The sequence below is a fragment of the Homo sapiens genome, chromosome 8, assembly GCF_000001405.40.
Source record: "Homo sapiens chromosome 8, GRCh38.p14 Primary Assembly".
Lineage (NCBI taxonomy): Eukaryota > Metazoa > Chordata > Mammalia > Primates > Hominidae > Homo > Homo sapiens.
In genome coordinates, this window is record NC_000008.11 from 1,977,600 (window position 1) to 1,991,561 (window position 13,962).

At 49.2% G+C, this 13,962-nt stretch overlaps 1 protein-coding gene across 3 annotated transcripts in view, besides 2 other annotated features; it reads left to right on the plus strand.

Annotated features, from left to right (window-relative positions):
- KBTBD11 (kelch repeat and BTB domain containing 11) overlaps nucleotides 1-13,962 on the plus strand; it is a 33,260-nt gene that overhangs the window by 3,923 nt on the left and 15,375 nt on the right. The window lies entirely within an intron of this gene.
- Nucleotides 388-947: an enhancer, noted in NCBI's record as "H3K4me1 hESC enhancer chr8:1926153-1926712 (GRCh37/hg19 assembly coordinates)". NCBI's record gives its function as "activates a minimal SCP1, AML or CMV promoter by ChIP-STARR-seq in naive H9 embryonic stem cells {active_cell/tissue: H9 hESC(naive)}" and the evidence as "EXISTENCE:reporter gene assay evidence [ECO:0000049][PMID:30033119]".
- Nucleotides 948-1,506: an enhancer, noted in NCBI's record as "H3K4me1 hESC enhancer chr8:1926713-1927271 (GRCh37/hg19 assembly coordinates)". NCBI's record gives its function as "activates a minimal SCP1, AML or CMV promoter by ChIP-STARR-seq in naive H9 embryonic stem cells {active_cell/tissue: H9 hESC(naive)}" and the evidence as "EXISTENCE:reporter gene assay evidence [ECO:0000049][PMID:30033119]".

Below are 13,962 nucleotides of genomic sequence, written 5' to 3' on the forward strand. Positions count from 1 at the left end.
GGCAACCTCCGCCTCCAGGGTTCAAGCAATTCTCATGTCTCAGTCTCTCGAGTAGCTGGGATTACAGGCGCCCTCCAGCACACCCAACTTATTTATTTATTTTTTTTTGTAGTTTTAGTAGAGATGGGGTCTCAGCATGTTAGCCAGGCTGGTCTCGAACTCCTGGCCTCAAGTGATCTTCCTGCCTTGGCCTCCCAAAGTGCTGGGATTACAGGCATGAACCACCACTCCCAGCTCAGAGCAATTATTTTTTAAAATTCTTACAATAGTGGGCCTTTCATAGCTTCCCATTCCTGCAAGATGCAGTTCACAGTTCTGAATATTCGTATCACGACCCTTGTTCCAATATCATGGTGGTTCAATAAGCCATGCACAGCTTAGTGGCTTAAAACAATAGCATTTATTTATATTTTAAGTTGCAGGGTACATGTGCGGGAGGTGCAGTTTTGTTACATAGGTAAACGTGTGCCATGGTGGTTTGTTGCACCTGTCAACCCATCACCTAGGTATTAAGCCCAGCAGGCATTAGCTCTTTATCCTGATGCTCTCCCTCCGCCGCCCTCTACAGGCCCCAGTGTGTGTTGTTCCCCTCCCTGAGTCCATGTGTTCTCATCATTCAGCTCCCACTTATAAGTGAGAACGTGGTGTTTGGTTTTCTGTTCCTGTATTCGTAGCAATAGCATTCATTTTGCTTAAAAGTCTGCAGTCTCGCTGGGCACAGCTCACCTTGGTGCCACTCAGCACCAGATGCGGAGCTTGAAGGCCAAGGGCTGGAACCATGGAGGCCACTGACTTGCTGCCTGAGGCTTGCGCCAGGAGGATTCACACACTGGGGGCTGGCGCAGCAGGGGCCCCTCGGGGACCTTCCCCTGTCACTGTGTGACCGTCCATGTACTCGCTGCAGCGTGGCAGCCTTGATGCAGTGGACTCCCTGTGTGTTGAGTCAGGGTCACCACGGACTGTGACCTGAGAAAACAGCCAGGTGGAACCGGGTCACCTTTCTCACGAGGCGGGGAGGTCATGTTGTGTTGCTTCCCCCTCAGTCCCTGGCCTGCCACGTAGAAGGGGAGGGAACGGGGTCTCAACTGTGAGCGCAGGGGAATCTCACTGGGCGGGATGGGCGTGCCGAGCAGGGTTCATCCATGCGGCATGTTTGGAAAATAGAATCTGCTCTTTCCACTAAGGTCATGTCCCTTCCACATAAAAAAGGCTACGGCGATCCCCAAGTCTCATCCTGTTGTGGCATCAAGACTTGGGCTCCAGGAAGTCATCATGGAAGTCAGGTGTGAAAGTGCCTCCCTGGGTTCCAGTCCTTCCTCTAATGCAAAGGCTGGTGTTCCAAAGCAATGAGAGACCCACCCCCAGCCCACAGTGCACAGCCCTGGGCAGGCACAGGAGAACTGCTGTAGGCCCTCGTGCTGGTCAGGGTTCTCCAGGGAAACACAACCAACTGGGTACATGTGTGTGCATGTGTGTGCATGTGTCTGCACGTGTGAGAGGGATTAGAGAGCAAGATTGAAGGACCTGGCTCATCCGATGGTGGTGGGGCAAGTCTGAGATCTGCAGGGCAGGCCGGCAGGCTGGATAGCCAGGGAAGTGCTGGCATTGCAGTCCCTCCTCCTCGGGAACCTCCGCCTTTTTAAGGCTTTGACTGATTGGACGAGGCCCACCCATATTGTGAATAGAAACATGCTTTACTCAAAATCTTCCCATGTAAATGTTAATCATGTCTTTAAAAAACACCCTTAGGCCAGGTGCAGTGGCTCACGCCTGTAATCCCAGCACTTTGGGAGGCCGAGGTAGGCAGATCACTTGAGGTCAGGAGTTTGAGACCAGCCTGGCCAACATGGTGAAACCCCGTCTCTACTAAAAACACAAAAATTAGCCAGGTGTGGTGGCACGCACTTGTGATCCCAGCTACTTGGGAGGCTGAGGCATGGGAATTGCATGACCCAGGGGGCGGAGGTTGCAGTGAGCCGAGATTGCGCCACTGCACTCCAGCCTGGGCTACAGAGTGAGACTCTGTCTCAAAACAAAACCCTTCATAGTGACATTTGGACTGTGATTGACTAAATATCTGGGTACTGTGGCCTAGCCAAGGGGACACATAAAAGTACCTATCATAACCTTCCTGTTCAGAAAGGGAGAAGTGTGTGGCAGACAGGGGTGTGTGGCCCACGCGGTCCTGAAGTGCAGCTGGGTGCAGGTTGGCAGCCTCGGGACAGGGCTCGGGCCTCATCCCGCGTGGCTTCCACACTCCTGGCTGCACCCTCTGGGCTCTTGGATCTCTTTGGGGAGTCCCTCTTCCTTTCCATGGAGAGGCCTCTGTTTGCAGCTGAGAGGTTTTCTTGCATCCTGCCCAGAGTACTTTGGGAGTGCAGTGCCCAGTCTCACTTTGTGCTGAATCTTTTCCCTGTAGCCTGAGCTGGCAGTATTTCATCTGTACAATTACCTGAAAGTGCTGTGGGGTTTTGTTTTCTATGAATCTCTTGGGATTTGTAGAATCCCCTGTCTAAGTATGACATCTTATTAGATGGGATTTGATATTTTGAGGACAAATATTGAGATAAGAAGATAGAGGCCCAGTCTGTGTGCCAGCCTAAATGATGTGAAATACTGATAATCAAACTTTTTTTTTTTTTTTTTGAGATGGGGTCTTGCTCTGTCACCAGGCTGGAGTGCAGTGGCGCAATCTCAGCTCACTGCAAGCTCCGCCTCCTGGGTTCAAGCATTTCTCCTGCCTCACCCTCCGGAGTAGCTGGGATTACAAGCATGCATCACCACGCCTGGCTAATTTTTGTATTTTTAGTACAGATGGGGTTTCACCATGTTGGCCAGGATGGTCCCAATCTCTTGACCTCATGATCTGCCTGCCTCGGCCTCCCAAAGTGCAGGGATTACAGATGTGAGCCACCACACCCAGCCTTTAATCAAAACTTTTAAAATGAGCTCCATGAAGCTACAGCCTCTGCCTCCACACTGCAGGCAGCTTCCGTGGGGGATGCCACGTGCTTCTGCATCGGGCTGTGGCATGGCCGGGTTGTGGTTTGTGGTGGCAGCGTGTGCTGAGAAGTGCTTGTCCCTGCCCTGGAGCCTCCGCCAGCTGGAGGTGGCACCACGCAGCCGCCAGGGCAGGGGCAGGGCAGGGGCAGCATGTTTCCTACTGGTTCTGTTAACTGTCTTTTCTGAGAGAGTGCCAGCGAGAGCAGATGAATGCCTTACCGTTTTCGGCACGACTTTAACAATCTGCTCAAGCTGAATGACCACAGAAAGCCTGCCTGCTTGTTGCATGGGCTGAGTTTCCCGCAGTTTCATGGGATTTGTGGAAATCTTTGCGAATGGTTGGATCACAGACTTCTTCTCAGCTTGTTTCATATGTCTGGCATTGCAACAGGGCAAAATAGTAACAAGGGCAGTAGGATCTCAGCGTCTGGTTTCTAATTTTAGCGCCAACACTAATTGGCTGTGTGACCCTGAGCCTGTCAGTGAATTTCATAGCAGAAACCTAACAGGCCAAGAGAGAGTAGGGTGATCTATTCGAAGTGCTGAAGGAAATAAAAACTTGCCAACCAAGATTTCTGTACCCAGAAAGGCTGTCATTTAGAAATGAAGGGGAGAGAAAGACTTTGCCAAGCAAACATCAGCTGAGGGAGTTCACCACCACCAGACCTGTCTTATAAGAAATGCTTAAGGGAATTCTTCTAGCTGAAAGAAAAGGACACTAATTAGTAACATGAAAACATTGAAAAGTGTAAAATTCACTGGTAAATGTAAGTACACGGTTGAATTCACAATACTCTAACACTGTAACGATGGTATGTAAATTAACTACATCTTCAGTATGAAGGCTAAAAGACAAAACTATTAAAACAGTAAAAGATACTGTGATGGTTAATTTCAAGGTGTCAACTTGAGTAGATTAAGGGACACCCCAATAGCTCGTAAAGTATTATTTCTGGAAGTGTCTGTGAGGGTGTTCCTGGAAGAGATTGGCATTTGAACCAGTGTGAGGAAGATTTGCCCTCAGTACCGTCCAATTGTCTGAGAGCCCAGATAGAAGAAAATGGCAGAAGAAGGGCAAATTCTTTCTCTGCCTCTCCCACTCTCCCCTGTCCTGGAGCTGGGACACCGTCTTCTTCTGCCCTTGGACATAAAAGCTCAAGGTTCTCCAGCCTTTGGACTCTGGGACTTGCATCAGTGGTCCCCTGGGTTGTCAGGCCTTCAGCTTTGGACTGAGTTATTCTATTCGCTTCCCTGGTTCTGAGGCCTCTGACAATAAACTGAGCCATGCCACTGGCTTCTCTGGTTCTCCAGCTTGCAGATAGCCTGTTGTGGGATTCTCAGCCTCAATAACTGTGTGAGCCAGTTCCCCTAGCAAATCCCCTCTCATCTACCGGTCTATCTAGCCTTTCTGTTGGTTCTGCTTCTCTGGAGAACCCTGGTTAATACAGCTATGGTAATATGTTAAGGGATATACAGCACAAAAAGCTGTCATTTGTGACATCAAAAACATAAAATGGGTGGGGGGCAGGAGTTAAAAGTATAGAGTTATTTTATTGAATCAGTTAAATCGTCAGCTTAAAATAGACTGTTACAACTATAAGGTATTTTATGTAAGCCTCATGGTGACCACAAAGCAAAAACCTACAGTAGGTACACAAAAGGTAGAAAGTCAAGAATCAAAGCATACCACAAGAGAAAGTCTAATCATAAAGGAAGACAGCAAGAGAGGAAGAAAGGAACAAAAGACCTACAAAACAACCAGAAAACAATTAAGAAAATGGGAATAGTAAGTTCTTACCTATCATAATTACCTTGAACATAAATGCATTCAGTTCTCCAATCAAGAGACATAGAGTGCATGAATGGGTTAAAAAAACATATAAGACCCCACTATATGCTGCCTACAAGAGACCCACTGGCCTTTGAGGAAACACAGGTTGAGAGTGAAGGGATGGGAACAGATACTCCACGCAAATTGAAAGCATTAGAGAGCAGAGGGAGCTATGCTTATATAAGATAAAATCCACTTCAAGTTAAAACTGTCAAGCAGCACTCAGAAGCTTTGTACAATGCAAGCAGCATTTTATAATGCCAAAGGGGCCAATTCATCAGAAGTAAACTTTTAGTATGAGTTGCTGAGCACTTTTTTTTTTTTTTTTAGACAGGATCTCACTGTGTCACCCAGGCTGGAGTGCAGTGGTGTGATCTCAGCTCACTGCAACTTCCACCTCCCAGGTTTAAGCCTCCTGAGTAGCTGGGATTATAGGCACACACCACCATGCCCAACTAATTTTTGTACTTTTAGTAGACATGGGGTATTGCCATGTTGTCCAGGCTGGTGTTGAACTGCTGACCTCAAGTGATCTACTCACCTTGGCCTCTCAGAGTGCTGGGATTACAGGCATGAGCCAGGTGGGCTCTTTTGATGTCCTGGGTGAGGCTTGGTTTAGATAATGTTGACTGTACCCAGTCCCCTCCTGCCACATGTTGGGTGTGTGTGCCCCGAGGCAGCAGTGACCTGCTAGAGGCCATGAGTTGGATGGACTCACTTCTGTGCCACCCACAAAAGCAGAGCCACACCTAGAACTTGGCAGCCTTGGGCATAGTCTGCTGTGTCCCCAGTGAATCCTGCCGCCTCTGCTGCCACCCTGTGTGCACCCCCATGCTCCAAAAAGGATGACCTCATCTAGGCCAGGTCATCACAGCTGAACTTCTCAGCCAGGATGTAACAGCCACCATACATCTGTCCCCAGTCACGATGCTCCTTTTCCTGAAGTCCTGTCCCAGGCAGCTGGGTGCTCCTTGTAACCCTGTGCCTGCCACCGCTCCGTGACCTGACCAGGGCGCTGGGGATTGTCTCGTTCCCTATTTCCATCATCCGTCGGGTTATCTTGTAACACCCCCCTCAGCACTGGCTGCATGACCTCATGATGCATCTTTTCTGCTTTTGGTCTTCACTAGTTGTGCTTGGTGGCACCTCCATGAGGGTCAAGCTGATGACTTTTCACACTGTCCCTATGGGACCTGGGGCAGTTTTGTGCAAATAAGACCATGAATGTTGAAATGTGTTACCTATAGGACCTGGGGCAGTCTTGTGCAAATAAGACCATGAATGTTGAAATGTATTTCACATGTGTTCAGCTTATCTCTCCCAATTAATTTGGAGACTGCTTGGATGCAGGAATTGCTTTTTAAAGAAAATTTTATTGAAGTCTAACATACAAACTGGAAAAAGTCACACATGGGGCTGGGCGTGGTGGCTTACGCCTGTAATCCCAGAACTTTGGGAGGCCAAGGTGGGTGGATCACCTGAGGTCAGGAGTTTGAGACCAGCCTGGCCAACAAGGTGAAGCTCCGTCTCTACTAAAAATACAAAAATTAGCTGGGCGTGGTGGCAGGCACCTTTAGTTCCAGCTACTCGGGAGGCTGAAGCAGGAGAATCACTTGAACCTGGGTGGTAGAGGTTGCAGTGAGCCAAGATCGCGCCATTGCCTGGGCAACAAGAGCGACCGTCTGAAAAAAATTTAGAAAAATAAAAAAAGAGTCACACGTGGGCCAGTCACAGTGGCCCATGCCTGTAATCCAAACACTTTGGGAGGCCGAGGTGGGAGGATCACTTGAGCCTGGGAGTTCGGGACCAGCCTGGGCAACATAGTGAGACCCCATCTCTAAAAAAGTTTTTTTTTTTTTTTTTTTTTTTTTTTGAGACAGAGTCTTGCACTTTCACCCAGGCTGGAGTGCAGTGGCGTGATCTCGGCTCACTGCAAGCTCTGCCTCCCGGGTTCACGCCGTTCTCCTGCCTCAGCCTCCCAAGTAGCTGGGACAACAGCTGCCCGCACCACACCTGGCTAATTTTTTGTGTTTTTAGTAGAGACGGGGTTTTACCGTGTTAGGCAGGATGGTCTCAGTTTCCTGACCTTGCGATCCCCCCGCCTCAGCCTCCCAATGTGTTGGGATTACAGGCATGAGCCTCCACGCGTGGCCCCGTCTCTAAAAAAATGTTTAAAAATGAATGAAAAGTCACACATGAACAGCTAGGTGAGTGGCCCCCTAAAAAGCACACGTGTGATAGGCACTCCAAACTTGACTTCCCACAGGAGCAGGAACTCATAGCATTTGGGCAGATGTGGCAGACTTTTGAAACAAACTGTGATTAGTTTAGTGGCATCTCCTGCAGTAAAATCTCGTATCATTAAACGAAAGTGGCAGCCGATCATTGGAAATGAAACCCCACTTTAAGGCCACGTACGTTTCAGGCCACGTTGCTGCTGTTTGGCCTTCTCGGCTGTTATCTGAAAGGGTCTCTGTTTGCAAAGCCCAACATAAGGGTGTTTCACAGCCTGAGTCGCTGCGATTACAAGGTCATGTGCTTTTGAATCAGGGTGGAATGGCCTGGCAGTCTGATCAGGTATTGCATTCTCATGCTCTAAGGGGCATCCACAGTATGCCCTGGGTCCTCGGAAGCCCCTGTACAAAATCAGAAGCCCTTCTGTAGGAACTCCTGTTGCCGACAGCCAGTCAGAGTGGGAGGTGGCTCACTGGAGACCCCCAAAGAGGGTGGCCGATGGCCGAATGCAGGTGACCCGGCAGGAGAAGGCAGAGCTCTTACAGGAGAGCACCTCGTGAGGTGTCCACTGGTGGAGCCCACACAGACCTTGGTGAGGGTGAGCTGTCAGGAGCTCGTCAGAGCAAAGATCAGGGTGTGCTTTGCTTCTCTGCAGAGAGGCAGCCTGCCTGACCTGGCCGACTCCCGCGCCACCTGGCTTTATTCCTCTGAAACTGTCTCATGCGCTTAGGGGTTCCCCCTCGGGAATTCCGAACACTGGACAGTCTCCAGGGGAGATGCTCTTCCACAGCAGCGTCTGTCCTGGCGCCCGGCGCCCGGCAAGCCACACACGGCAGCCTGCTCAGCTTCCAGCCTGGGTGCCATGTGGCGTTTACCAAGGTGGGATCCTTGTTTTCCTAAATAATAACCTTTGTGAGACTGAACTGTTCTCTCATCTCACCCCGAACACGCTACAGTCGTTAACTTCAAACCTGCATTTTAGAGAAAAACACGAAATAAAAATATGTTGGCCAGGTGCATTGGCTCATGCCTGTGAATCTCAGCGCTTTGGGAGTCCCAGGCTGCAGTGAGCCATGATTGCACCCCTGCAACCCAGCCTGGGTGACAGAGTGAGACCTTGTCTCTAACAAACAATGAAGTAAAAACCAGTATGTTGACAATCTTCATCTATAAATCATATTTAGTGAGACGTTAAAAGAGTTTGTAAAGAACGAATGATAACATCAGGTTGTTCCCATTCAGTCTCAAGGTATAATTGTAGACACATCGGTTTTGCATCCACACTCCCGCGTGGCAATTGCAGGACCATCTGGATATGAAACTGTCTCTTCCTGCTCACATAACTGCACTCTTGTTTGACAGACCACAAGTCTTGATTTCTGCATCAAAAATAGTAGCTAAAATATCAGTAACAATGACAAATCAATTCTCATGTCATCAACCTTCCTTCCCTTTGCACTCAGTCACCTGCTGGTTTGGGGTTGGCCACGTTGTGCTTGCCTTTGGGGATCTCAGGCATTTTCCCTGGATCTAAAGCAGCCAATGGTCATTGTTCCCCCATCACAAAGTCTGAGTGGCAAGTACAAGCTGAATATCCTACTTTTGAGAATCCTGCTGACAGTTTTGATGATGCAGGTGCAGTAGAATTGGGACTCTGTCAAATCTTAACTGAAACAAAACACAAAAAAGAAGTAGGAGACGGGTTTCTGCCCTCCTTTCAGTTTATACCAACGATGCAAATAAACCCATGAGATTATTAGAAAAGGCAGAGTTTGGGAATCTGTTCTACATCCAACTCTGCCATAACTTGTTTGTAATCTTGGACAAGTCTCTCTTTTATGAAACCAACAGCTCAGAACTTTAAAAAGGACAAAACACGAGTTTTTATTTAGATTCCCGTATTTCCACTTGGCTGGAACTTTTAGTAACTAAGTTACTCAGCAGCAGAGGCATGAAGAATTCTTACCTGGTGATTAACTGTACTTAGGTGTGTTTAAGGTTGTATGGTTTGCATTCATTTTTATTAGCAGGCCAGATTACTTAATTGATAAATAATGGTAGTTGTTTAAACATATGGCATTACGTTTTAAATTGTAAAATATTTCAAACACCATAATGCAATATAAAGAAACGCTCATGGATCCCACTAAGATTTAATACATGTTATCGTTTTGCCACTTAGGCTTCAAATATTTTTTGTTTGTTTGTAAGAAACTAGATGAGGCCAGGCGTGGTGCCTCACTCCTGTAATCTCAGCTCTTCAGGAGGCTGATGCAGGAGGACCAGGGGAGCCCAGGAGTTGAAGACAGCCTGGCAACATAGTGAGACCCTATCTCTCCAAAAAAAAAAAAAAAAAAAAAAAAAACCACGCACACACACACACAAAGAAGGAACCTGAATGATACGGTCTATGTGGTGAACAGAGACACTGGAAGCCCTGTGGTCCCGTCCCCGGCCTCCTCTTCAGAAGTGATCAATACACAAGAATCCATGCCTGTCCTTCCTCTCTCTGTTTTTACACTTCCATAAAAGACATAGGTGTTTTTTAATGTTTAAAATATACATAAATAGAATTATCCAGTATCTTTTTGCAACTGCAAAGCTTCCGAAATTCAAAATTTTGTTTATGAAATTGACTCACGTTGAGACATGCAGATCTAGGTCATTTATTTGAACAGTGTTAGCGTGACACAAAACCCATCTAGGAGTCGCTCAATCAATCCTTTTTTGTAGAAAAGGACACAAAGCAATCTTTCTAAAACCCAAGACTGATCATATTACTGTTCCCGTCACTGCTTCCTTTCTTTAAACGCCGTCAGCAGATCCCATTGTGGTCAAGGTGACCGGGCCCTTGTGCTGCCCCCACCAGACCCCAAGCACCCCTGCGCTCCGGCCACCCTCGGTCTCTAGAACCTGTCAAGCTTGTCTGTACCTCGAGGACTTCTCCGGCTGCTCTCCTGCTCCTCTCTCATGCTGCAGCATAACTTTCACATTCTGGGAGGACGCACCTGTCACCACAGTAGAACCAGGTTCATCTGTCCTTATCTTTTGGAGCCTTTATTATTATTATTATTATTATTATACTTTAAGTTCTAGGGTACATGTGCACAACTTGCAGGTTGGTTACATATATATACATGTGCCATGTTGGTTTGCTGCACCCATTAACTCGTCATTTACATTAGGTATTTCTCCTAATGCTTTCCCTCCCCCAGCTCCCCAGCCCCCGACGGGCCCCGGTGTGTGATGTTCCCCGCCCTGTTTCCAAGTGATTTCATTGTTCAGTTCCCACCTTTGAGTGAGAACATGTGGTGTTTGGTTTTCTGTCCTTGTGATAGTTTGCTGAGAATGATGGTTTCCAGCTTCATCCATGTCACTGCAAAGGACATGAACTCATCCTTTTTATGGTTGCATAGTATTCCATGGTGTATATGTGCCACATTTTCTTTATCCAGTCTATCATTGTTGGACATTTGGGTTGGTTCCAAGTCTTTGCTATTGTGAATAGTGCTGCTATAAACATACGTGTGCATGTGTCTTTATAGCAGCATGATTTATAGTCCTTTGGGCATATACCCACTAATGGGATGGCTGGGTCAAATGGTATTTCTACTTCTAGATCCCTGAGGAATCGCCAAACTGTCTTCCACAATGGTTGAACTAGTTTACACTCCCACCAACAGTGTAAAAGCGTTCCTGTTTCTCCACATCCTCTCCAGCACCTGTTGTTTCCTGACTTTTTAATGATCGCCATTCTAACTGGTGTGAGATGGTACCTCATTGTGGTTTTGATTTGCATTTCTCTGATGGCCAGTGATGGTGAGCATTTTTTCATGTGTCTGTCGGCTGCATAAATGTCTTCTTTTGAGAAGTGTCTGTTCATATCCTTTGCCCACTTTTTGATGACTTTTTTCTTGTAAATTTGTTTGAGTTGTTTGTAGATTCTGGATATTAGCCCCTCCTGGAGTCTTCTTGCTAGTCTCTTCAAGCCTTTGTCCTGGTTCCTGAATCCATTCAAACGTGTGCAGTGGCTCAACGCTTGCCTTCTGCACTGAGGCTTGAGCCCCATGGGGCTGGGACCAAGTCTGTCTCATTCCTTGCTACCATTTTAGTAGCTGGCGCGCTGTCTGGCACATTGTAAATACTTCATATATGTCTGCTAAGTAAATGAGCAAATGAATGAATATTGCTAATTAATTATCATTATTAACATATCAATGTAAATCTAACAGATTGACAGTTGTGAGCAATTGTAGGATTTATTCAGCCCAGGAATCTCTCATTTCCGATTCCAGCTGAGCGTCCTGGTAGGACACTCAACTTTGATTTCAGTTTTAAAATGAAACAGATTTATTTTAAAAGAGTCAAGTTGACCCAAACATTGCTCAGAGTTGGGTTTCAGAGCTGGACATTTCAGGAGAGTCTTTCAGCCGGTGCCTCTCTCCAGAGCCTTGGTGCTCTGGTGCGACCTTGGTATTCACGCTTTATGTTTGGCTGAATCAGTAATTCTTGAGTCGGGCCACAGGGAAGGGCAGATGCTTCCTATTTCAACGTGTTCTCAGTTTCCACCCCAAGGACACTCACAGAAACCTAGAGTAAGATTTGTACTCCTCTGAATCAAAGGCTCTTTTGAATGAGTACAATGATTTATTTTCATCCAGTTTTCTTTCAGTACTTCCAGATCTGTGATTCCAGTGAGCACAGGCTGTGTTATAACTAGAGCGAGGACAGGCGCCAGCGGCTCCCTGTCCAATCTTGTTTTGGACCAAGTTGACCGCACACTTCTGTGCAAGGACATCTCATTCCTCTTCTACTTTCAAGTATGGTCCATGCAGGTGTATCGTCGTGTCAGCAATGAAGGAATGATGGAGTCACTAAGCTCCATACCGCATGGATCTCAGACGCTTGCATTTTTTAAAAAATCCATTAATCAGATACAGGAAGCAGATCAGGAAATCTATGCAACAAGTTTCACAGCTGAGGTGTCCCCTCTCTGCACGACGCATCGCCTCCCCGAAGAGCTCATAGCAGGCAGTGGTTAAGGGGCCAGACACACGAGTGCCCCCTCACCTCCCTTGCGTCTGGCTGCGAACCTGACCACAGAGTCGGAAGCAGGCATCCTCATGGGGTGAGACCACAGGGGCTGGAATCCATGGCTCTGACTAAACCTCTTAAACTTGTGACCAGCAGGGGTGAATCCCTGCTAATTTGTGAGGGCCAGCTCACTAGGGAACAGATAACGATGTCTCAGGTGGTTTTTTTTTTTTTTTTTTTTTTTTTTGAGGCCTCTTGTTGAAGGCTCCAGAGACAGAGGAAGAGAGGAGAATATTGAACTTTGGTGTTGGTCAGCTGCTAATTTTGTTCAGTCTTCTGAGACTACAAACTTAGTATTTCTGTGCATTGAGCATTTTTTCATTTATGGAATGAAGACGCTGGTAGATCTGCCTGTCTCAAGTGTGTGAGCTGTGAGACTGAAATGGGACAGTTGCCGGGAAGATGCCGGGAGCCTGTCTGGGTAGATGCTGGGCCTTGGCGCCCTGTCCAGGTGGGTGCTGGGCCTTGGTGCCCTGTCTGGGTAGATGCTGGGCCTTGGCGCCCTGTCTGGGTAGATGCTGCTGGGCCTTGGTGCCCTGTCCGGGTGGGTACTGGGCCTTGGTGCCCTGTCTGGGTAGATGCTGGGCCTTGGCGCCCTGTCCGGGTAGATGCTGCCGGGCCTTGGCGCCCTGTCCGGGTAGGTGCTGCCGGGCCTTGGCGCCCTGTCCGGGTAGATGCTGCGGGGCCTTGGCGCCCTGTCCGGGTAGATGCTGCTGGGACTTGGCGCCCTGTCCGGGTAGATGCTGCGGGGCCTTGGCGCCCTGTCCGGGTAGATGCTGCGGGGCCTTGGCGCCCTGTCCGGGTAGATGCTGCGGGGCCTTGGCGCCCTGTCCGGGTAGGTGCTGCGGGGCCTTGGCGCCCTGTCCGGGTAGGTGCTGCCGGGCCTTGGCGCCCTGTCCGGGTAGGTGCTGCCGGGCCTTGGCGCCCTGTCCGGGTAGGTGCTGCGGGGCCTTGGCGCCCTGTCCGGGTAGGTGCTGCGGGGCCTTGGCGCCCTGTCCGGGTAGGTGCTGCGGGGCCTTGGCGCCCTGTCCGGGTAGGTGCTGCGGGGCCTTGGCGCCCTGTCCGGGTAGGTGCTGCGGGGCCTTGGCGCCCTGTCCGGGTAGGTGCTGCGGGGCCTTGGCGCCCTGTCCGGGTAGGTGCTGCGGGGCCTTGGCGCCCTGTCCGGGTAGATGCTGCGGGGCCTTGGCGCCCTGTCCGGGTAGGTGCTGCGGGGCCTTGGCGCCCTGTCCGGGTAGATGCTGCGGGGCCTTGGCGCCCTGTCCGGGTAGATGCTGCCGGGCCTTGGCGCCCTGTCCGGGTAGATGCTGCGGGGCCTTGGCGCCCTGTCCGGGTAGATGCTGCCGGGCCTTGGCGCCCTGTCCGGGTAGATGCTGTGGGGCCTTGGTGCCCTCTTCTTGTCCTGCTGTGGGCCTCTGTAGTTTGGCAGTGACCTTGTCCTTGGGAGGCACTCCTCCCTGCATGTGAGAAAGCTTGCTAGGGCAGCGGCTGCACCGTGCTCTTTATACACACCGCGTTGAACTCCAGGACTGCCTGGTGAAGTAGGCGTTTGCTTTTAGGTAAAGGATTACAGTTTCCAAGGATGGGAATCCCCGCACGCTAGCCTAAGCCAGAAGTGGCATTTATTAGCGAACTTACCTCAGACGCCCCCAGAAGCTGTCCTTCGGCACCACATGCTCCAGGGGTCTCACTCTCCTGTCCTCTTCCCATTTTTAAGTTTTCTGCTGTGTGCATTGTTTCTTTTCTTCTGCTGGAGATAATGAGCTTTCCCTCGATTCCAGCTCTGTGATCCATGAGGGCAG